At 37.9% G+C, this 24,667-nt stretch overlaps 1 protein-coding gene and 1 pseudogene across 29 annotated transcripts in view; one reads left to right on the top strand and one right to left on the bottom strand.

Annotated features, from left to right (window-relative positions):
• Window positions 1–24,667, bottom strand: part of ZNF254 (zinc finger protein 254) — a 96,520-nt gene that overhangs the window by 9,518 nt on the left and 62,335 nt on the right. For 21 of the 29 annotated variants that reach the window (XM_047439750.1, XM_047439742.1, XM_047439743.1 and 18 more), the window contains 2 exons: window positions 14,385–14,511; window positions 13,808–13,903 (listed from right to left, as the gene is read on the bottom strand). The exons of 3 other annotated variants lie outside the window; for them this stretch is intronic. In XM_047439750.1, coding sequence (XP_047295706.1) covers window positions 13,808–13,903; window positions 14,385–14,418 — 130 coding nt within the window. In that variant the 5' untranslated portion in view covers window positions 14,419–14,511. Of the gene's footprint in view, window positions 1–12,407; window positions 12,481–13,098; window positions 13,236–13,807; window positions 13,904–14,384; window positions 14,512–16,583; window positions 16,620–24,667 lie in introns of those variants that run through there. 5 more of the 29 variants (XM_017027518.2, NM_001278664.2, XM_047439754.1 and 2 more) reach the window with 4 other exon arrangements.
• On the top strand, window positions 21,471–22,024 carry BNIP3P40 (BCL2 interacting protein 3 pseudogene 40; annotated as a pseudogene).

Below are 24,667 nucleotides of genomic sequence, written 5' to 3'. Positions count from 1 at the left end.
CAAAATAATTTTTATATTAATAAACTGAAAAATACAGAGGTATAATTTTTATATTCAACTGAAGTTGTCATGAGATTAAAATATATTTTTAAGTTTTAGATGTTTTATGTAAATTCCATTTTTAAGATGATGTGGTTTGGCCATGTCCCAACCCAAGTCTCATCTTTAATTCCCATATGTTGTGGGAGGGATGCAGTAGGAGGTAATTGAATCATGGGGGCAGATGTTTTCTGTGCTGTTCTCATGATAGAGAATAAGTCTCATGAAAGCAGAAGGCTTTATAAGGCAGTTTTCCTGCGCAAGCTCTTTCTTTTGTCTGCCACCATGTGAGACATGCCTTTCACTTTCCACCATGATTGTGATGACTCCTCAGTCACATGAAACTGTGACCAATAAACCTCTTTCTTTTGTAAATTGCCCAGTCTCAGGTATGTCTTTATCAGCAGCATGAAAACAGACTAATATACAAGAGGATTATGAAGATAATATTTATAGAAAGTATGCAAAACAAAATTTAAAAAATAATTGAAGCATGTCACTACACAATTAAAATAAGGCAATAAAACAGTAAATAAGAAAAAACATACCACTCAAACACATAAAACAATAGCAATAAAACTAGTAATTTCATTTTAAGAAATAATTTTAAATATAAATTAATTAAACTACTTAATAAAAAGAAATGTAATCTCAGGACTTTGGGAGGTTAAAGTGGGGTGTTCACTGGATCTCAGAAGTTTGAGACCAACCTCAGCAATGCGGCAAAACCTTGTCTCAACCAAAAATACAAAAAAACTGGGAGGACATGAAGCTACACACTTGTAACCCAGCTACCTGAGAGGCTGCAATCAGAGAATCTTCTAAGTTTGGGAGGTTGAGGCTGCAGTGAGCCATGATCACAACACTGCAAACCAGCCTGGTTGAGAGAGTGAGACCCTATCTCAAGAACAAACAAATAAGGCCAGGAATGGTGGCTCACACATGTAATCCCAGCACTCTGGGAGGCTTAGGCAGGTGGATCACCTGAGGTCAGGGTTTTGAGATCAGCCTAGCCAATATGGTGAAACCCCTTCTCTACTAAAAATGCAAAAATTCGCCAGGCATGGTCGCACACACCTGTAGTCCCAGCTGCTTGGGAGGCTGAGACAGGAGAATCGCTTGAACCTAGGAGGCAGAGGTTGCAGTGAGCCGAGATTGTGTCACTGCACTCTGGCCTGGGTGACAGAGTGAGACTTCATCTCAAAAAAAATAAAAAATACAATAATAAAGTTTATTTCCTTAAACCATATGTGGAAAAATCTTTTAATTAGACATAAGAAGATAACTTTTTTTGTTTTTGAAGTCAGAGTCTCATTCTGTTGCCCAGGATGGAATGTGGTGGCATGCTCTCCAATCACTCCAATCTCTGTCTCCTGGATTTAAGTTATTCTCCTTCCTCAGCCTCCCGAGTAGCCTGGGTTTACACGCACCCACCACCACGCCTGGCTAATTTTTTGTATTTTTAGTAGAAATGAGGTTTCACCATATTGGTCAGGCTGGTCTCAAACTTCTGACCTCATGATCCACCCCACTCAGCCCCCCAAAGTGCTAGGATTATAGGTGTGAGGTGCCATTCCAGGCCAGATAACTTCTTCATCATTTAAAAATATATAGGGGAAACACATGACAATAATCTTGGCGCCATTTTCTTAGCTACAACATTAAATGCATAAGCAACAAGGAAAAAAGCAAAAATTTAACTATACTACACTTCCAAATTTCTGCATATGTAAGTAAACATTTAATAGAGGGATAAGGCCTCCTAGAAAATGGGTGAAAATATTTACAAATCACATGTGATAGGAGTCAATATTCAAAAAATAGAAACGACTTTTAAAACTAAATAAATTTGAATGAATTTATTTACAAATAGGAAAATAATTGAAATACATTTTCATCGAAAAACACAAACAAAAAATTTGAAAGGACACAAAAAATTTCTAATTTATAGAGAAATGCATAAAAATCACAACGAAAAAGAAAATCCATCACATCCATTTAAATGACCACTATCAATTTTTTAAAAACACCTAATCTGTTGATGATGCAGTAAAACCCTTGGCCAAGTGAGGTGGCTCACGCCTGTAATCCCAGCACTTTGGGAGGCTGATGCGGGCGGATTTTGAGGTCAGGAGTTCAAGACCAGCCTGATCAACATGGTGAAACCCCATCTGTACTAAAAATACAAAAATTAGCCAGATGTGGTGGCACGTGCCTGTAATCCCAGTTACTAAGGAGGCTGAGACAGGAGAATCGCTTGAAACCCGGGAGGCGGAGGTTGCAGTGAGTCAAGATTGTGCCACTGAGCTCCAGCCTGGGTGACAAAGGGAGACTCCATTTCAAAAAAAAAAAAAGAAAAGAAAAAAAAGAAACCCATGTGCATCGTTGGTGGAAAACAAGGATGCACATACTATTTTATTATGTTATAAATGTACTTCAAATAACTAAAAATAAAATTATCAAATACAGCAATTACATTTATGAATCTATATATAAAATATGCAACAAAAGACCTTGAAGACATGTATGATAGAATGGAATATGATTCAGTTTTAAAAAAAAAATCTTGAGCAGCCAAGATGGCCAAATACGAACAGCTCCGGTCTACAGCTCCCAGCGTGAGTGATGCAGAAGACGGGTGATTTCTGCATTTCCATCCGAGGTACCGGGTTCATCTCACTAGGGAGTGACAGACAGTGGGCGCAGGACAGTGGGGGCAGCAAAGCGTGGAAGAGCCGAAGCAGGGCTAGGCATTACCTCACTCAGGAAGTGCAAGGGGTCAGGGAGTTCCCTTTCCTAGTCAAAGAAAGGGGTGACAGACGGCATCTGGAAAGTCGGGTCACTCCCACCCTAATACTGCGCTTTTCCGACGGGCTTAAATAACCGCACAACAGCAGATTATATCCTGCACCTGGCTCGGAGGGTCCTACGCCCACAGAGTCTCGCTGATTGCTAGCACAGCAGTCTGAGATCAAACTGCAAGGCAGCAGCGAGGCTGGGGGAGGGGCACCCGCCATTGCCCAGGCTTCCTTAGGTAAACAAAGCAGCCGGGAAGCTCAAACTGGGTGGAGCCCACCACAGCTCAAGGAGGCCTGCCTGCCTCTGTAGGCTCCACCTCTGGGGGCAGGGCACAGACAAACAAGACAGCAGTAACCTCTGCAGACTTAAATATCCCTGTCTGACAGCTTTGAAGAGAGCAGTGGTTCTCCCAACACACAGCTGGAGATCTGAGAACAGGCAGACAGACTCCTCAAGTGGGTCCCGGACCCCTGAACCATGAGCAGCCTAACTGGGAGGCACCCCCCACTAGGGGCAGACTGACACCTCACATGGCTGGGTACTCCTCTGAGACAAAACTTCCAGAAGAATGATCAGACAGCAGTATTCGCGGTTCACGAAAATCAGCTGTTCTGCAGCCACTGCTGCTGACACCCAAGCAAATAGGGTCTGGAGTGGACATCTAGCAAACTCCAACAGACCTGCAGCTGAGGGTCCTGTCTGTTAGAAGGAAAACTAACAAACAGAAAGGACATCCACACCAAAAACCCATCTGTACATCACCATCGTCAAAGACCAAAAGTAGATAAAACCACAAAGATGGGGAAAAAACAGCAGAAAAACTGGAAACTCTAAAAAGCAGAGCACCTCTCTTCCTCCAAAGGAACGCAGTTCCTCACCATCAATGGAACAAAGCTGGGTGGAGAATGACTTTGACGAGTTGAGAGAAGAAGCCTTCAGATGATCAAACTACTCCCAGCTACAGGAGGAAATTCAAACCAAAGGCAAAGAAGTTAAAAACTTTGAAAAAAATTTAGACAAATGTATACCTAGAATAACCAATATAGAGAAGTGCTTAAAGGAGCTGATGGAGCTGAAAGCCAAGGCTTGAGAACTACATGAAGAATGCAGAAGCCTCAGGAGCTGATGCAATCACCTGGAAGAAAGGGTATCAGTGACAGAAGATGAAATGAATGAAATGAAGCGAGAAGGGAAGTTTAGAGAAAAAAGAATAAAAAGAATTGAAAAAAGCCTCCAAGAAATATGGGACTATGTGAAAAGACCAAATCCACATCTGATTGGTGTACCTGAAAGTGACGGAGAGAATGGAACCAAGTTGGAAAACACTCTGCAGGATATTATCCAGGAGAACTTCCCTAATCTAGCAAGGCAGGCCAACATTCAGATTCAGGAAATACAGAGAACGCCACAAAGATACTTCTCGAGAAGAGCAACTCCAAGACACATAATTGTCATATTGACCAAAGTTGAAACGAAGGAAAAAATGTTAAGGGCAGCCAGAGAGAAAGGTCGGACTACCCACAAAGGGAAGCCCATCGGACTAAGAGTGGACCTCTCGGCAGAAACTCTACAAGCCAGAAGAGAGTGGGGGCCAATATTCAACATTCTTAAAGAAAAGAATTTTCAACACAGAATTTCATATCCAGCCAAACTAAGCTTCATAAGTGAAGGAGAAATAAAATACTTTACAGACAAGCAAATGCTGAGAGACTTTGTCACCACCAGGCCTGCCCTAAAAGAGCTCCTGAAGGAAGTACTAAACACAGAAAGGAACAACCGGTACCAGCCACTGCAAAATCATGCCAAATTGTAGAAACCGTCGAGGCTAGAAAGACACTGCATCAACTAACGAGCAAAATAACCAGCCAGCATCCTAACGACAGGATCAAATTCACACATAACAATATTAACTTTATTTATTTTTCTTTTTTTATTATTATTATACTTTAAGTTTTACGGTACATGTGCACAATGTGCAGGTTAGTTACATATGTATACATGTGCCATGCTGGTGTGCTGCACCCATTAACTCGTCATCTAGCACTAGGTATATCTCCCAATGCTATCCCTCCCCCATCCCCCCATCCCACATCAATCCCCAGAGTGTGATTTTCCCCTTCCTGTGTCCATGTGTTCTCATTGTTCAATTCCCCCCATGAGTGGGAATATGCGGTGTTTGGTTTTTTGTTCTTGCGATAGTTTACTGAGAATGATGATTTCCAATTTCATCCATGTCCCTACAAAGGACATGAACTCATCATTATTGATGGCTGCATAGTATTCCATGGTGTATATGTGCCACATTTTCTTAATCCAGTCTATCATTGTTGGACATTTGGGTTGGTTCCAAGTCTTTGCTATTGTGAAAACTGCCACAATAAACATACTTGTGCATGTGTCTTTATAGCAGCATGATTTATAGTCCTTTGGGTATCTACCCAGTAATGGGTTGGGTGGGTCAAATGGTATTTCTAGTTCTAGATCCCTGAGGAATCGCCACACTGACTTCCACAATGGTTGAACTAGTTGACAGTCCCACCAACAGTGTAAAAGTGTTCCTATTTCTCCACATCCTCTCCAGCACCTGTTGTTTCCTGACTTTTTAATGATTGCCATTCTAACTGGTGTGAAATGGTAACTCACTGTGGTTTTGATTTGCATTTCTCTGATGGCCAGTGATGGTGAGCATTTTTTCATGTGTTTTTTGGCTGCATAAATGTCTTCTTTTGAGAAGTGTCTGTTCATGTCCTTTGCCCACTTTTTGATGGGGTTGTTTTTTTCTTGTAAATTTGTTTGAGTTCATTGTAGATTCTGGATATTAGCCCTTTGTCAGATGAGTAGGTTGCGAAAATTTTCTCCCATTTTGTAGGTTGCCTGTTGACTCTGATGGTAGTTTCTTTCGCTGTGCAGAAGCTCTTTAGTTTAATTAGATCCCATTTCTCAATTTTGGCTTTTGTTCCCATTGCTTTTGGTGTTTTAGACATGAAGTCCTTGCCCATGCCTATGTCCGGAATGGTAATGCCTAGGTTTTCTTCTAGGGTTTTTATGGTTTTAGGTCTAACGTTTAAGTCTTTAATCCATCTTGAATTGATTTTTGTACAAGGTGTAAGGAAGGGATCCAGTTTCAGCTTTCTACATACGGCTAGCCAGTTTTCCCAGCACCATTTATTAAATAGGGAATCCTTGCCCCATTGCTTGTTTTTCTCAGGTTTGTCAAAGATCAGATAGTTGTAGATATGTGGTGTTCTTTCTGAGGGCTCTGTTCTGTTCCATTGATCTATATCTCTGTTTTCGTACCAGTACCATGCTGTTTTGGTTACTGTAGCCTTGTAGTATAGTTTGAAGTCAGGTAGCATGATGCCTCCAGCTTTGTTCTTTTGGCTTAGGAGTGACTTGGCGATGCGGGCTCTTTTTTGGTTCCATGTGAACTTTAAAGTAGTTTTTTCCAATTCTCTGAAGAAAATCATTGGTAGCTTGATGGGGATGGCATTGAATCTATAAATTACCTTGGGCAGTATGGCCATTTTCATGATATTGATTCTTCCTACCCATGAGCATGGAATGTTCTTCCATTTGTTTGTATCCTCTTTTATTTCATTGAGCAGTGGTTTGTAGTTCTCCTTGAAGAGGTCCTCCACATCCCTTGTAAGTTGGATTCCTAGGTATTTTATTCTCTTCGAAGCAATTATGAATGGGAGTTCACTCATGATTTGGCTCTCTGTTATTGGTGTATAAGAATGCTTGTGATTGTTGTACATTGATTTTGTATCCTGAGACATTGCTGAAGTTGCTTATCAGCTTAAGGAGATTTTGGGTTGAGACAATGGGGTTTTCTAGGTATACAATCATGTCATCTGCAAACAGGGACAATTTGACTTCCTCTTTTCCTAATTGAATACCCTTTATTTCCTTCTCCTGCCTAATTGCCCTGGCCAGAACATCCAACACTATGTTGAATAGGAGTGTTGAGAGAGGGCATCCCTGTCTTGTGCCAGTTTTCAAAGGGAATGCTTCCAGTTTTTGCCCATTCAGTATGATATTGGCTGTGGGTTTGGCATAGATAGCTCTTATTATTTTGAGATACGTCACATCAATACCTAATTTATTGAGAGTTTTTAGCATGAAGTGTCATTGAATTTTGTCAAAGGCCTTTTCTGCATCTATTATATAATCATGTGGTTTTTGTCTTTGGTTCTGTTTATATGCTGGATTACATTTATTGATTAATTGGCATATATTGAACCAGCCCTGCATCCCAGGGATGAAGCCCACTTGATCATGGTGGATAAGCTTTTTGATGTGCTGCTGGATTCAGTTTGCCAGTATTTTATTGAGGATTTTTGCATCGATGTTCATCAAGGATATTGGTCTAAAATTCTCTTTTTTGGTTGTGTCTCTGCCCGGCTTTGGTAACAGGATGATGCTGGCCTCATAAAATGAGTTAGGGAGGATTCCCTCTTTTTCTATTGATTGGAATAGTTTCAGAAGGAATGGTATCAGTTCCTCCTTGCACCTCTGGTAGAATTTGGCTGTGAATCCATCTGATCCAGGACTCTTTTTCATTGGTAAGCTCTTGATTATTGCCACAATTTCAGCTCCTTTTATTGGTCTCTTCAGAGATTCAGCTTCTTCCTGGTTTACTCTTGGGAGAGTGTATGTGTCAAGGAATTTGTCCATTTCATCTAGATTTTCTAGTTTATTTGCATAGAGGTGTTTGTAGTATTCTCTGATGGTACTTTGTAATTTCTGTGGGATCAGTGGTGATATTCCCTTTATCATTTTTTATTGCATCTATTTGATTCTTCTATGTTTTTTTCTTTATTAGTCTTGCTAGTGGTCTATCAATTTTGTTGATCCTTTCAAAAAACCAGCCAAATCATGAGTGAACTCCCATTCATAATTGCTTCAAAGAGAATAAAATACCTAGGAATCCAACTTACAAGGGATGTGGAGGACCTCTTCAAGGAGAACTACAAACCACTGCTCAATGAAATAAAAGAGGATACAAACAAATGGAAGAACATTCCATGCTCATGGGTAGGAAGAATCAATATCATGAAAATGGCCATACTGCCCAAGGTAATTTATAGATTCAATGCCATCCCCATCAAGCTACCAATGATTTTCTTCAGAGAATTGGAAAAAACTACTTTAAAGTTCATATGGAACCAAAAAAGAGCCCGCATCACCAAGTCACTCCTAAGCCAAAAGAACAAAGCTGGAGGCATCATGCTACCTGACTTCAAACTATACTACAAGGCTACAGTAACCAAAACAGCATGGTACTGGTACGAAAACAGAGATATAGATCAATGGAACAGAACAGAGCCCTCAGAAAGAACACCACATATCTACAACTATCTGATCTTTGACAAACCTGAGAAAAACAAGCAATGGGGCAAGGATTCCCTATTTAATAAATGGTGCTGGGAAAACTGGCTAGCCGTATGTAGAAAGCTGAAACTGGATCCCTTCCTTACACCTTGTACAAAAATCAATTCAAGATGGATTAAAGACTTAAACGTTAGACCTAAAACCATAAAAACCCTAGAAGAAAACCTAGGCATTACCATTCCGGACATAGGCATGGGCAAGGACTTCATGTCTAAAACACCAAAAGCAATGGGAACAAAAGCCAAAATTGAGAAATGGGATCTAATTAAACTAAAGAGCTTCTGCACAGCAAAAGAAACTACCATCAGAGTCAACAGGCAACCTACAAAATGGGAGAAAATTTTCGCAACCTACTCATCTGACAAAGGGCTAATATCCAGAATCTACAATGAACTCAAACAAATTTACAAGAAAAAAACAACCCCATCAAAAAGTGGGCAAAGGACATGAACAGACACTTCTCAAAAGAAGACATTTATGCAGCCAAAAAACACATGAAAAAATGCTCATCATCACTGGCCATCAGAGAAATGCAAATCAAAACCACAATGAGATACCATTTCACACCAGTTAGAATGGCGATCATTAAAAAGTCAGGAAACAACAGGTGCTGGAGAAGATGTGGAGAAATAGGAACACTTTTACACTGTTGGTGGGACTGTCAACTAGTTCAACCATTGTGGAAGTCAGTGTGGCGATTCCTCAGGGATCTAGAACTAGAAATACCATTTGACCCAGCCATCCCATTACTGGGTAGATACCCAAAGGACTATAAATCATGCTGCTATAAAGACACATGCACAAGTATGTTTATTGTGGCAGTATTCACAATAGCAAAGACTTGGAACCAACCCAAATGTCCAACAATGATACACTGGATTAAGAAAATGTGGCACATATACACCATGGAATACTATGCAGCCATCAATAATGATGAGTTCATGTCCTTTGTAGGGACATGGATGAAACTGGAAATCATCATTCTTAGTAAACTATCGCAAGAACAAAAAACCAAACACTGCATATTCTCACTCATAGGTGGGAATTGAACAATGAGAACACATGAACACAGGAAGGGGAACATCACACTCTGTGGACTGTTGTGGGGTGGGGGGAGGGGGAAGGGATAGCATTAGGAGATATACCTAATGGTAAATGACGAGCTAATGGGTGCAGCACACCAGCATGGCACATGTATACATATGTAACTAACCTGCACATTGTGCACATGTACCCTAAAACTTGTAGTATAATAATATTAAAATATAAAATTAAAAAAGGAAATATAGATTCACCCTGCATCTTAAGCTATTGTTTTACTGAAATGGAAAATAAAGAAGAATATTTAACAGTGAAAAAAAAAAATCTTGTCACTTTTAAAGATACACTTTGAGAATATTATGTCCACTGAAATAAACCAGTAATGAAATGATGGATGTTATGATTTTACTTATATAAATATTTAAAGTAATTACACTCATAAAAACAGAAGGTGGAAGGGTGTTTGCCAAGGGTTGTAGAGAGCATAAAATAGGTAAATGTTATTTAAGGGATATTGAGTTTTAGTTTTACAAGATGTAAAATTTCTAGAAGTCTTTTGCATAACGATGTGAATATAGTTAACATGCCTGAAATATACACTTTTTTTTTTTTGAAACAGGGTCTCAATCTGTCACCCAAGCTTGCACGCAATGGCACAATTATGGCTCACTGCAGCCTCACAATCCCAGGCTCAACTAATCCTGCCCCTCAGTCTCTCAAGTAGCTGGGACCACAGGTGTACACCACCATGCCTGGCTATTTCTTAGAAAAAAAATGTTTGTAGAGAGGGTGTCTCCATATTTTGCCCAGGCTTGTATCAAACTTTTGGGCTCAAGCAATCCTCCTGTCCTGGCCTCTCAAAATCCTGGTTTTAAAGATATGAGCCACCACCATGCCTGGCCCTGACATGTACATTTAAATAGATTTAAGAAGGTAAATTATATGCTAAGTGTTTTTACAACAATAATTTTTAAAAACTGGAAAAAATACAGAATTATACATCTTTTTAAAAATTACCTTCAAATCACAAAAGTGTTTTTCTCACACAAAGAAAATACATATTTATCATTAAACACATGGTGAAAATAAGACTATTTCCAAGGCTACTCACTTAGACAAGATAAAACCAACACTGAAAATGAGTTAAGAGGCCGGGTACGGTGGCTCATGCCTGTAATCCCAGCACTTTGGGAGACCAAGGCAAGCAGATCACCCAAGGTCAGGAGTTTGAGACCTGCCTGACCAACATGGCAAACCCCGTCTCTACTAAAAAAAAAAAAAATACAAAATTAGCCTGGGATGGTGGCACATGCCTGTAATCCCAGCTACTCAGGAGGCTAAGGCTAGAGAATCACTTAAACCCGAGAGGTGGAGGAAGTTGCAGTGAGCCGAGATCACATGCACTGTACTCCAGACTCAGCAACAAGAGCAAAACTCTGTCTCAAAAAAAAAAAAAAGAAAAGAAAAGAAAAAAGAAAAAAGAAAAAGAAAATTAGCTAAGAAAGAATATATACAAGTAAACTATAACCAAATTTGGGTCATATTTGTAGACATAAACACACACATATAGATAATCTGACTATGACAGACATATGGCTCATTTATCTTTTAATTAAACCAGACACTGACTTAAAGTATACAAACAGAATTGCCGATTGTCTAAAATTATAATGCACGAAATCAATAGACACAATAAACTGATATTAAGAAACCTGCACTTAAAAAACACACTAATATAGAACTGGAAGATAATAATGAAAGAAATGTTTACTCATAAAATCTAGTTGGCAACATTAATGTACATTAACAAACAATTTGTCTAGATAACTGCAATGTTTGACTGTAACTGTGCATTCAAGGAAGGCAGGTGTTTTAAATTAATGGCATCTATTATGTAGCAATAAAATTTCAGAGTAAATGCAGTAAAATCATAATTAGGAGATGCTAATGAGAAACTTTTAATAGATAAGCATTTAAAAGAAACTAGTCTCAATTTTTATGTTTTAAATACATGTTATTTTACACAAAATAAAACTACTGTAATCCAAGTTTAGAAGCAAAGTGGCATGATTTTGGCTCACTGCAACCCCCACCTCCCAGGTTCAAGCGATTCTCCTGCCTCAGTCTCCCTAGTAGCTCAGACTACAGGCGCGTGCCGCCATGCCCGGCTAATTTTTTGTACTTTTAGTAGGGACGGGGTTTCATCGTGTTAGCCAGGATGGTCTCAATCTCCTGATCTCGTGATCCACACACCTCAGCCTCCCAAAGTGCAGGGATTAGAGGCGTGAGCCACCGCGCCTGGCTCTATAATTCCTTTTTGCCTGCCTGCATACTAATTATCTAATTTAATTCAGGCACGACATGTATATTCTATTATATTGCCCTAAATGTCTGAATCTAAAATTACAGACAAATTTGAAGTAGAAAACAGTTAAAATTTATATGGAGAGTGGCATTAATAAGATAAAAAATTAAAGGTGCCTTATTTGCTTATCCTCTGTCAGCAAGAAAATTTGTCAGCCATTGCTGACAAAAATGCCTTTATGAGAGAACCAGGCATCATGGTTCACACCTGTAATGACAGCTACATGGTACATGAAAGTTGGAGAATTGCTTTTGATCAAAATATTAAGACCTGCCTGGGTTATGTTACAATACCCCAGATCAAAAATAAATGCCTTTAAAAGAACTCTGAGATCCAGGAAAGGAGTTGTGAAACTCTGCTAAAGCCCAAGACTGAAGGTAACCCTTTTCAGAAGGCAGGTCCTCATTCAGGTGGCAAACTACAGAACTACTGTTTTTGGCTAAAGACAAGAAATTGTTCCACCTAACTTGGTTCCCCTGAGAATTTTAAACTTACTCTGTAAACATCCCAAACTCTTCCCAGTCACAGTCTGGGGGGGTCCTGCCTTTCCAGAGGCCTGGAGAAATACACCCATTTAGAGCCATGCTGGCAGGCCTGCAGACCTTGACCTTTACTGTGGTCCCTGAAGCAGTTCCATGACTCAGTTCCAGCTCCCTGAGCCATAGTTCATGGCCGGTTTTGCCTATGTAGAAACCCAAAGTTACCTCGGAAAATCCTCTCCTGTACTCAGTGAAAGCCATGCTCATCCACATCCTGATATAAAACTCACCATATGCAGGCCTGAGTGCAGAAACCTGCCCTTGGGTCTGCCCTGCACAGCAAAGTCCTGAAGGATATTCAATCTGTCCAAAAATTAAATGAGAATTACAACTATCCAAGCTCCTTTTAAGAAGACAACTGAAGGTGGACCCTTGTGCAAACCCAGCAGCCTTAAGGCCAAGCTACAACCCCTCTTCACTACAAACCCAGAGGACATTCTATCACTCTGGGGGCCCAACAAAAACACATTTTTACTTTCTGAAACCAGTTTATAGAAACTTGAAGAGGTGTTTGCTCCTTCAAATTTACAGACACTAATGCAAAACTAGCTTCTATTTTAACATAGCACTGAAAGCATGTGGAAGACAAAATAGTCAAAAGAAAAATTTAAAGTCATTGAAATTGAAGACCAATAAGTAAAATGTTGCTGTTTGTAGATCATGTAATCATATATATATGTATATAGAGAGAGTACATTAAAACCTGTTTAAATTAATGAATACACTCAGTTAATTAGCAAAATATAAAATTAATATACAAGATATGGTTCCATACACTTAAACTATCTGATAAAATAGAGGAAAAAAAAACTTATGTACAATATCAATGAAATACTCAATTTTAGAACAAATTTAAACAAGGAGCTCATAAATCTTTCAAGTGAAAGATATATCAATGAAAAAAATTAGAGAGGACACTAATAAATTTTAAAATGTTTTATTTCTATTGAAAGAATAAGTATTATGAAACTGCCATATTATCCAAAGTGACCTGTAGATTTAAAGAACTCCTTATCAAAATTCCAGTGTTTTTCTTCACAGTAATGAAAAATCCAATCCTAAAATGGACATGAAACTACAATAAACTTTGAATAGTCAAAGCAATCTTGAGGAAAAAGAACAAAGCAGAAGGACATCCTACTTTGTACTTTCAAACTATATTTCAAGACTACAGTAATGAAAACAGGATGAAATGTGCAGAAAAATAAACCAAAAAGAAAAAACCCAATATAACAGAAACTACTACTCTCACACATTTCAGACATGATGCAAAAAGAGAACTTAAAAAACAGTTTAACATACAGTATCTCAAAATTATGGAGACAGATCTGTCTGTCCACAAAACAAGAAAAAAGAAGTCAGATTGTACACTCTTTTGTATGCCATGAACAGTACTTCGGCTGTCACTGTAAACTTGGAGGAAGATCATTGAAGGGAAAGTAGAATTCTTAGATTTTATAGGCATAAGCAGAAGATGCCCCTATGTGAGAGTATAATTTAAAAAAAAAATTTAGGCTTCCCAGAAACTATTTCCTTTGGATCACAGCTTCTTAAATCACTTTAAAGAGTGGCTTTCTTCTTGACTTTGGACCTCTCATCCATGTCATCTGTTGTATTCACTCTCACCTACCTGGGGGTTCATCCACCATCTCATGTCGCTTCATATTCCAGGGCTCTTTCCCTTGTTCCAGACAGGTGATCAGGTCTGGCTTAGAGACAGCAATACCTGTTTTATTAAAAATAACTAAATGAATCTTGCTTATATTCTCCAATTACCAACTTAGTAATGTGCTCAGTAAGGAGGATATAATAGAATATGCTAACAAAGTTATTCTAATACACTAATTTATAACAGAAATTTTTAAATATTTAGGAAATATTTTAATTTTTTAGGTTCTTAATTTCACTGCCTGGTACTACTGAATCAAAAATTGGTGATGCCAAATGGATTTTAAGATGTAACAATATTTTATGCCACTAAACTTCTGAAATTAGCCTTAATCTAAAGTGCAGGACACAGATTAGCTCAGGAATGTGGAAAGTTCAGGTCAAGATGAAACATCTTGAAGAAATTCCTTTCTCAACAGACAAATCCCCAGTATTTTCTTGAAAACAGAAATCTGAATGCGTAAATTACCAGAAAACATTCTAAAGAAAAATAAAAGCTTTAGTTTATGTGAGGAATTTTGTATTAAAGTTATCCTCACCCAGGAAGGCCAGGTTTCTGTAGTTCTCTAACATCACATTTCTATATAAATTCTGCTGTGCAATGTCCAGGTGTTGCCACTCCTCCAGAGAGAATTCTATGGCCACATCCCTAAATGTCAACAGTCCCTGGAAAACACACACAAACACACATATTTACAAAGTGGCTATCGGCAGAATTTTTCATTTGACTCAAGGTAAAATTAGAGTAAATAGAACTGGTTCTGACTTATAAGAGTGATTGAAATTATCCAATAAAATAATTGTCAACACATGAACATTTTCTAATGTATTCTCTAACTCTGAGAAAATAGAGTGGCAAAATATCCACATCAGTGTATATGTGATACTTGTCTGGAAGATAACATGTAAAATTGAAGGCATAAACACTAACATACATTTTTGAGTGCTACGTTTACATAATGCAGAATGAGTTATGTATATTTTTCAGATGAAAAAGACATAGTTGTTTATATTTTTCAGACAAAATAGACATCTTGAGTTAGAAGGTACCACTCAAATTTTAACGTGTACAATAAACTGGACATCTTGTTAATGCAGATTATTTTTTGGGGAGATCTGAAATAAAGTCTGAGTTAATGAATCTCTACCAAGCTCACCAGTAATGCCAATGTTTTGGCCCCAAAAGACTATTTTGTCAAACATCCAGTAAGTGGAAGAGCCTGTTGTTTTTGTTTTTTGTTTTTTTTTTTAGTTTTTCTAGCCTGTAAACAAAGATGAGAGCTTTCATTTACCAAAGAAAAATAAATGTAAAGAAAACCTAAAAAAAAGAAAAAGACAAAAAACAAAAGGCAGCCAGATTAAACGTGATGGTTTATGCACATCAGCTCCATAAAGATATCTAATGATGAAGAGAAAAATAATTCTATAGTGAAAAAATCTGTAAGAGAGCTTATTGAGTTATTAGCATCAACATCAACTGCACTAGGACAGGTTTTTATAGTGTGCTGATGCACCCAGAAGGACACGACATTACTACTGAGATATTGTACCCACTAAATTACAGTCTGAATTTAATCATAAGAAAACATCAGTTTTATGGGAAGTTCAAGATACAGATATCTTTCATGTTCTGTAATTTGTAATAGTGATTTTAAGTAGTCTTTCTATAGCACCCTAATAAGGAGGTATCTCTTGATAATTTTTTCAGAGCTTTCTGGGTAATAAATGCCATCCTGTTTAAATGAGTATTTTCTTAATTGTGTAATGCATACAGATAATAAAGAACACAGATAGAACCTCAACATTACATATTCTATGTCTTTACTAAGAACCCCAGGTTTTCCCCACAGAAATATTGAGTATCCACCCCTCTCCATGTTCATCAGCCACAAGGAGAACATTTTTAATATTGCAGATCACAAATTCATGGTGAGAATCTTACATGGCATATAAAAAGCCATGATGTAGAGAAGATTCTTGTATATAGAAAAATTTTTCAGACACCCTCGACTATCATAAGCATTTTTAAAAGTAGTTAAGAAAAACTTATTAGGGAGAAAAAACACAGGTATAGAAGTGAAGATTTGCAAGTACTAAATGCAAGGCATTCCAGAAAGCAGAGTAGACACAGCTCTTGATCTGGGACACGTTTAGCTGAAAAAAAAAGTCACTTTTTCTCTCTCCTCCTCCTCTAGAATTCTTTCTCAGATGAGATATTCTGGACTAATTACACCTGCATCTTGACAATATGCCTTTAAAAATTTGAGCACATGTTCACCTGTTACCACCACACTCAAAGTCAGAAGGCTCAAGACACAAAAACTCTACCCATTTCTGTCCTTTACAACAAAAAAGATTCAGGAACAATGAGCTGCTCCACAGAGAGAAAAATATAAGTTTCTCTTCTTTTTGTCCCCAGGCGCCCTCCCCTGTTACAAACACCAGGAATTTCTGCTACAGTAATAGAAATATCGAATCCCAGCACTTTGGGAGGCCAAGGCAGGTGGATCACGAAGTCTGGAGTTCAACAGCAGCCTGGCCAACATGGTGAAACCCCATCTCTACTAAAAATACAAAAGTTGGCTGGGTGTGGTGTCTCACGCCTGTGATCCCAACACTTTGGGAGGCCAAGGCAGGTGGATCACCTGAAGTCAGGAGTTCAAGATCAGCCTGGCCAACAGAGTGAAACCCCACCTCTACCTAACATACAAAACTTAGCTGGGAATGGTGGCAGGCACCTGTAATCGCAGCTACTCAGGAGGCTGAGGCAGGAGAATCACTTGAACCCGGGAGGCAGAGGTTGCAGTGAGCCGAGATTGTGCCATTGACTCCAGCCTGGATGACAGAGCGAGACTCCATCTCAAAAAAAAAAAGAAAGAAAAAGAAAAGGAAAGAAATATTGGCCACACTGTCCTATCCTTACCAAACTCAAACAGAACAGATTCCTAGAACATTCTTTAGTGCAAAAGTGGAACTTAACTCAATGAATGTATCTTGAACTCCTCATATTTGATGCTGGCACCTGAGAGTCACATGAGGCACTTAATTAAAACAAATAGACGCTTTCACCCAGAACAGAAACTGTGAAAAGGGCACAAGTAAAGAGAGTTCTGCATATTGGCCATGTGATTCTAATTAGAAGCCTGATCTTATAACCACTTACCTAAGCATTATCACTCAAGCTTTAATGAGCTTATGAATCGCTTTGTAAAATTGGCCCCACTCTATGTAATGCGATTCTGCAGGTTTGGAAATGGTCCATAAATGGGTGTTCTAAACAAGTCTTCTGTCAATGCTGGTGTCACTCTCTCTGGGCTCATTGTTAGCATTAGTTAGAAAAATGAGGTACAGCACAGAGCCCCTTACACTCAGCACTTTTGTAAAAACACAAATACTTCTGATGCAAATGAAGACAACCATTCTCTATCTTAAAGTATCATATTATTTTCTGGCTCTTTAAAGTTTACAGAGAAAACAGAAAGCAGCAATTTTCTGAGTAAGTCTGCATTTGGAAAACAACATGTGCACATGTATTAATGCAATGTTTATTAAGCAGGTACTATGTGATCAACAGGATGTTACAGAGCACTGTGATAGCACATTATTTGATTCTAATAATACCCTGTGAGTTGATACTAAGTGTCCAATAAATCCAAGGATTTAGAATAAAGACCCAGCATTTTTATTTCCTCTTCTGTTTATCATTGAGTTTTTTAAAATGCATGGAATAAAATCTAAATACAGACAGATGAGAAGGACACAGATAGAGTTTAATGAAATGTAGATGAATTTTTATTGTATTTATATTTGCTATTTTGTGACTTGTGAATCAACTACTATATCTGCAGGAACAGAAAACAAGTTGCTAAATGGAATGTCTCTGTAAACACTGGTTTTAATATAAAATTATTAAATTAAGACCCTATAATACATGTTATTTTTCCATTTATCTGCTATTGGGTTTCAGAAAAGTGTGAGCACCAACTCTAAAAAGGCAACAGGATTCATCACCCAAAACTCTGATCTCTTCTAGTTAGTTCTGTGAGGCAAAACTCCAGGGTAGGGCAAGACTTAAATAAGGCCTTCAAAAAGGGTGAATCTAAACAGGGCTGAAGCAGGGTGTAGAGTTGATGTAAAATTCTGTTCTTTACACCACTGGGGAGTATTTTTTTTTTATGTTTCTTTTTTTAAGCTTACCTAAAAGAAAAAAAAAAAACTTAAATCTCAGAGTTTGTGTAATTTTAATCTTTTTTAGCCCCATTGCCCTCTAATTTCATATCACATACTAATAAGCAATTTAAACAAATCCCTTAAGGTTTTCTAGAATAATTTAGAAGATAAATAAGTTTACTTAGCAAGGCAAAAAAAAAAAAAAACAAATTTTGTTTATTAATATATGTTCAGGTATAGACATCTGAAGTCACAATATAAAGAAAATGGCCCAAATAAAGCCCATATTTTTGCACACATCTATTTATTGTACCCACCATATGATGCATAATTAAATCATTTATCCAGTTGCTAGTCTAGACTAAAAGTTCCTGCATGGTAGGGACCATGACTGCGTCATCTATTTTTCTAATGACTATATGAAATAGAAGCAATTAGTTTATCTCTTTGAGTCTGCAGACCTCCTCCTTGTTTTTACCCAAGTACCAGGGAACTGGAGAAACTCTCATCTGGGTACCAACCGAAGACAGCTCTTGCATGAGGGGAGGAACAATCACAGGATGACTCATTTCATTTACACTAAGACAGAAGCAAAATTGCCCACTCTTGTCAGCCTGACACAATTCTGTTCTGGAGATTCTCAAATGTCTCAAAGACACCTAGGTGATTGTGAGAGCATTTCCAGTGACCCTGGACTGATGGTTCAATAGCAAGCCAGCAGGAGAGACTCAGGCTGATTCTAAATAGAAAATGGAAGTACCCTGGTGGAGCTGCAGAACCTGGATCACCTGTCCTGATTAGCTAGCTTTTTGGTATGTAGAAGTGCAAGAATACTCTAATATCATATTTTCCAGGTAAGTATACTTGTGCTCAGAGCTCTGGCTACTTTGTGGCCTTGATCTCTCACTCCTAAGATGCTTCTTTACACTTAAGAGATTCTGCCATCAGATTCTATTTACACCTGGAGCCTCTCACATAACTGTAGCAGGTGAAAACACAAGATGTGAAAAGGTCAAAGAGCCACACTCTCAAAGGAGGGATCTAAAATGTCTATGTTGACATCTCACAATGCAGAAAATGCCTCCTATTGGTTTTCTGTACATTCTCAATCTAAAGTAGGACCCTGTTTTATAAATTCCAGGCAGAGGCCAGACCTTATTTGCAGATTCTAGATAAACATCATTCTGCATTTCTGGCTGTTACAGCAAGTAGAGTACAATCAAAAGATCTACTCATAGAGGCTGCTCTAGAAAATTCTAAATAATATTTTACCTAAAAAAAGGCTGATACGGGCTGGGTGCCATGGCTCATGCCTGTAATTCCAGCACTTTGGGAGTCCAAGGCAGGCGGATCCCCTGAGGTCGAAGGATCACCTGAGGTTGGGAGTTCGAGACCAGCCTGACCAACATGAAGAAACCCTATCTCTACTAAAAATACAAAATTAGCCGGGCATGGTGGCCCATGCCTGTAATCCCAGCTACTCAGAAAGCTGAGGCAGGAGAATCACTTGAACTTGGGAGGCGGAGGTTGCAGTGAGCCAAGATCAAGCCATTGCACTCCAGCCTGAGCAACAAGAGCAAAACCACATCTAAAAAAAAAAAAAAAAAAGCTGACACAACATGAATATAAGTAGACAGTTTATTTGGGCCAAGCTTAAGTATTGTAACTTGAGAAGAAATATTCAAGATGCCTGGAATTTGCACTTTGATTAGCAGCAGTTACAAGTGGATTTGTGAAGGCAAAAAAAAAAAAAGAGAGAGAGACATACAAACTTCTTTGTCAGAAATTCTTGTTTAAATAAATAACTTTAATTATTGATTGACTGTACATTAAGGGTAAGGGTATAGAATATAGTGTCCAGTGTGACATTATTAGTTTAACTTACACCTACCTGTGGCAATAGTGAACAATGTCAAGAGATGAATACATAGTTGAAGGAAGGGAGAAAGATGTAATTGTGCTTTTATTTTAATGTCTCTCTGAGTTTTATAAGTAAAAAGACTTTCATTCCTCAAATAAAAGTTTTGGATTTTTTTTTTTTTTTTTTCAAATTTCAAGACCTAGATTTAGAATTCAGAGCTGCAGATTTAGGTCCCGGATGGGTGGAGTAGCAGCAGTTGTTACCTGCAATTGTGAGCATTTTAGCGAGAGAAGGGAAAAGAAGTGGAGATTCTCATGTCTCCATGTCTACTCAATGCACACTGTTACTCTGATTAGGTTTCTGGGCTCCATGGTCTCTGAATCAGTTTCAGTTCTGAAGATAAAAGAGTCATGGAATGAAGTAAAATGATTAATATCTGCCCTATAAAGTTTGTAGAAATCTGGTCTAGCCCCTCTAGAAGTGACTATAGAGGACTATAGACACCAAATAGACAGAGACACAATTCTGCCTGCATATTTAGGTGACAGCATGCACTTTAGAGCATAATTGTGAGTTGACTGGAAGACTAAGAGGGAAAGTCCCCTTTACAATAAAGCTTGGTTGGCACCTTATGTGTTTATATTATGTCTGGTAATTCTAGACACTGTTTGGAAAATATAATTTTTTAAAAATTCTCTTCAGCCCCAGAGAAACCACAATAATGTAACAGACAGAAAATTGTTTCATTACACACTTAAATCTGAATATCACATGTATTACAGTCAGTCTACTTAAGAGACTGAAAAGACAGAAAGACAGTTACCATAATTAGTTCACAAGTAGAAGAATTTACAGCACCATGCCATAGTTCATCCTAAATTCACCTGGTCATTGGGGAGGCCATCCATGTATGCTAACTGGTTATATTCAATGACAAAATAAGCTTTTCACATCTTCATGACAGAAGGTAGTTTGCAACTTGAAGCCAGGTAACTGCTTAAGGTAGACTTTCACTCTTCTACAAAAGTGACTGAAAAGGGTGCTGTCTTTTTGGCTACTTGCATTTTAAATCAGTGGCTCTCTACTCCCTGAAGACTGTGCTAGCGCACTCTTGCTTCCCCTCTTCTGGTGGCCAGTGTCCTCTTCTGTTTCGTACCACCTGCCACTGACATACAGCCCATAGCGCAGGGCTCACAGCTGGCAGCTCACATCTTAGGTGAATGCCAATTCCCACAGCAGCACTTTAGTGTCACATCAAAGAGTGAAGCCTGGCCAGGCAGGGTGGCTCATGCCTGTTATCCTAGCACTTTGGGAGGCTGAGGCTGGTGGATCATGAGGTCAGGAGTTCGAGACCAGCCTGGCCAACATGGTGAAACCCCATCTCTACTAAAAATACAAGAAAAAAAAAAAAAATAGCTGGGCATGGTGGAGGGCACCTGTAATTTCAGCTACTCGGAGGCTGAGGCAGAAGAATTGCTTCAACCCAGGAGGCAGAGGTTGCAGTGAGCTGAGATCGTGTCACTGCACTCCAGCCTGGGAGACAGGGCAAGACTGTCTCAAAAAAAAAAAAAAAAAAAAAAAAAAAAGAGCGAAGCCTGAGCTGCAGAAGAAGAGCCTGCAGGCCTCTTGGGTAGAATTGCACCTTCACAATAATGGTAAAGAGAGCATTGTTTAAGCCACAGTTTCTATTTATAATGGTTACATGAAAAAAATACTGCTGGATTTCCAGCATGCATCCAGATAAAGCTAGCTCCAAGAGTTCTCACTGTAATAGCCTGTCTTTCAGAGATATTATGGGATACCAATAGGGCTTCTAAAACAGATATACAAAGCATTCAAAAGAAAAACAGCTCTCACTCCAAGAAAGATTATATTGAGAAAAAAGGAAGTTAAAAGCCTCTTTAAAAAACCTGAGATTAGATATAAGATTGCTCAAGTCAGTCAGAAAATATTCCTCTAAAAAGAATTTCTCTCTAAATACCCAAAGTGCATAGCTACTCTCAGCATGAGTAACATGAGTACTATGAAGAAAGGGGGCATATTATCATTGGAATTTTAAAAGTTTTTATTCATCTCTGCTGCGCTCATCTAGCCATTGAAGGCAAAATCTATATTGAAATATATTTGACAACTTACACCAGTACCTTTGATAAAAAATTAAAATATGACTGTGATAATATAATGGAATATATGCGAGCCTACAACATAGCTTACTAGAGAGGTATTACAGTTTTGGGATGGCCACATCACTTGCCTTTATTTGTCCTGTAATAGCAGCATTCCAATTTGTGAAATGAAAGACACTAACATTATGCTTACTTATAATTATCCCTATTGGTTAAATTAATAAGCCTATCAGACTAACATCTACTGTAACAATTTGGTAGTAAATTTTCTTTGGATATTAGACATAAATATGTAAGTATGAATAATTTTAATGTACTACTCATAATGTATGTGGAATTTTTAAACATTTTCTTTATAATTCAGCTCAAAAACTACATTTCAAAAGTATGAATCACAATATTAAAATAGCTATTTAAGGAATTCATTTAAAGTAAATATTATGGCTTTATTCATACTATTGTAGAAAATACTAGTGAATGTGTTTGAATGAGGTTGTCTACAAACACTGCATAACTATGCTAATTGTACTGAAGTAATAAATAGAAACCAAGGTATGACAACAGACTCCACTGGTTCAGTTTATAAACTGAATTGTTTTTTTTGTTGTTGTTTGCTTGTATATTTTATTTTATTTTATTTTATTTTATTTTATTTTATTTTATTTTTGAGATAGAGTTTTGCTTTTGTTGCCCAGGGTGGAGTGCAATGACATGATCTCAGCTTACCACAACCTCCGCCTCCCAGGTTCAAGCAACTATCCTGCCTCAGCCTCCCAAATACCTGGGATTACAGGCATGCACCACCACACCCTTCTAATTTTGTATTTTTAATAGAGATGGGGTTTCTCCATGTTGGTCAGGATGGTCTCGAACTCCCAACCTCAGGTGATCTGCCCACCTCAACCTCCCAAAATCCTGGGATTACAGGCATGAGCCACCACGTCCGGCCATAAACTGAACTCTTTTTGTTTTTGTAGTATAAATACTTCAGCCTGCAAACGATCACCATGGATAATCAGGTTTCTGTCAAACAACTTACTCAGTATCTTTTAATCTTTATAATTCAGCCTGCAAACGATCACCATGGATAATCAGGTTTCTGTCAAACAACTTACTCAGTATCTTTTAATCTTTATAATTCTGTACTGCTAAATTTTGTCTATTTTTATGCTCAACTTTTGTGTGCTCTTGGAATGAGCTTTACTCTGAACAAATCTGTGTCAACTTTAAAAGACTATCATAAGAATAATCTCTTGCCAAAGCAAAAAAAGAGCAATTAATCTCAGGTCCCAGATAAAGACAATCCTGAGTCAAAAAAAATGACAAAAGTTTTATTTTGCTGTTAATATGATTTACATATATCTCAAAAAAACAGGGATAAAAATCTACACACAATCTAAATGTTTTAAGAAAAGAGATTTTAGTAAGATATTTTCTCTTATCTTAATGTGGACCAAGCCTCTTATTTTTAATTTATATTTTGTTTTACAACAGACAGGTCCATCACATGTGCTTGAACTCTTGGACATCTGAATTTTGCACACTGTGTGCACACGTAAGAATGCTTATGGGAGAAAAAGCAGAAGAGAGAAAGGTGTTGTATAAAATTCATGGGTTCACATGAATAAAGCAAGTTCTTAGAGATCTATAAGAGTTTTAAATTATGACACAATAACAGTGGGAGACTACAACATCCCACAGGCACTAACAAACAGATAACTGAAGAAGCCAATTAACAAAACATTAGGACCTAAAGTCTACACTTGACCAAATAGTCCTAATAGACATCTACAGAAGTCTTCATCTAAAAATAACATAACATACATTGTTCTCATCACCATGTGGCACATACTCAAAAACTGACCACACAATCAGAAATAGAATAATCCTCAGCAAATTCAAAAAACTCAAAATTATACAGAACAAACACATAGACCACAGCTGAACAGAAATATAGTTCAATAAAAATAAAACAACTGATACAATTACATAAAAATTAAACAACCTGCACTTGAATAACTTTTTGGTAAATAATGAAATTAAGGCAGAAACCAAGAAGTTATTTTAAACAAATAAGAACAAAAAAAACAGGCCAGGCATGGTGGCTCATACCTGTAATCCCAGCACTTTGGGAGGCTGAGGCAGGCAGATCACATGAGGTCAGGAGTTTGAGACCAGCCTGGCCAACATGGTGAAATCCTGTCTCTACTAAAATTACAAAAATTAGGCAGGCATGGTGGCACATGCCTGTAATCCCAACTACTTGAAAGGCTGAGGAAGGAGAATGCTTGAACCCAAGAGGCGGAGGTTGCTGTGAGTTGAGACTGTGCCATTGCATTCAGCCTGGACAACAAGAGTAAAACTCCATCTTAAAAAAAAAAAAAAAAAAGAACTAAAAAACAACACATCAGAATCTCTGCAATATAGCTAAGATAATGTTAAAGGGAAATTTATAGCATTTAATGCTCAAATTAAAAAGTTAGAAAGATCTTCATTTTACAACCTGATATAATCAATAAAAGAATGAAAGAAGCAAGAGAAAATCAATCCCTAAGCTAGCAGCAGACAAGAAATAACCAAAATCAGAACTAAACTGAGATTTAGACATAAAAACTTTACAAAATATCAAAAAATCCAGGAATTAAATCTATGAAAAAATAAATAA

Source organism: Homo sapiens, chromosome 19, assembly GCF_000001405.40.
Source record: "Homo sapiens chromosome 19, GRCh38.p14 Primary Assembly".
Taxonomy (NCBI): Eukaryota; Metazoa; Chordata; class Mammalia; order Primates; family Hominidae; genus Homo; species Homo sapiens.
The sequence above is the reverse complement of the archived record's forward strand: the minus strand, read 5'-3'. Positions and strand labels throughout refer to the sequence as shown.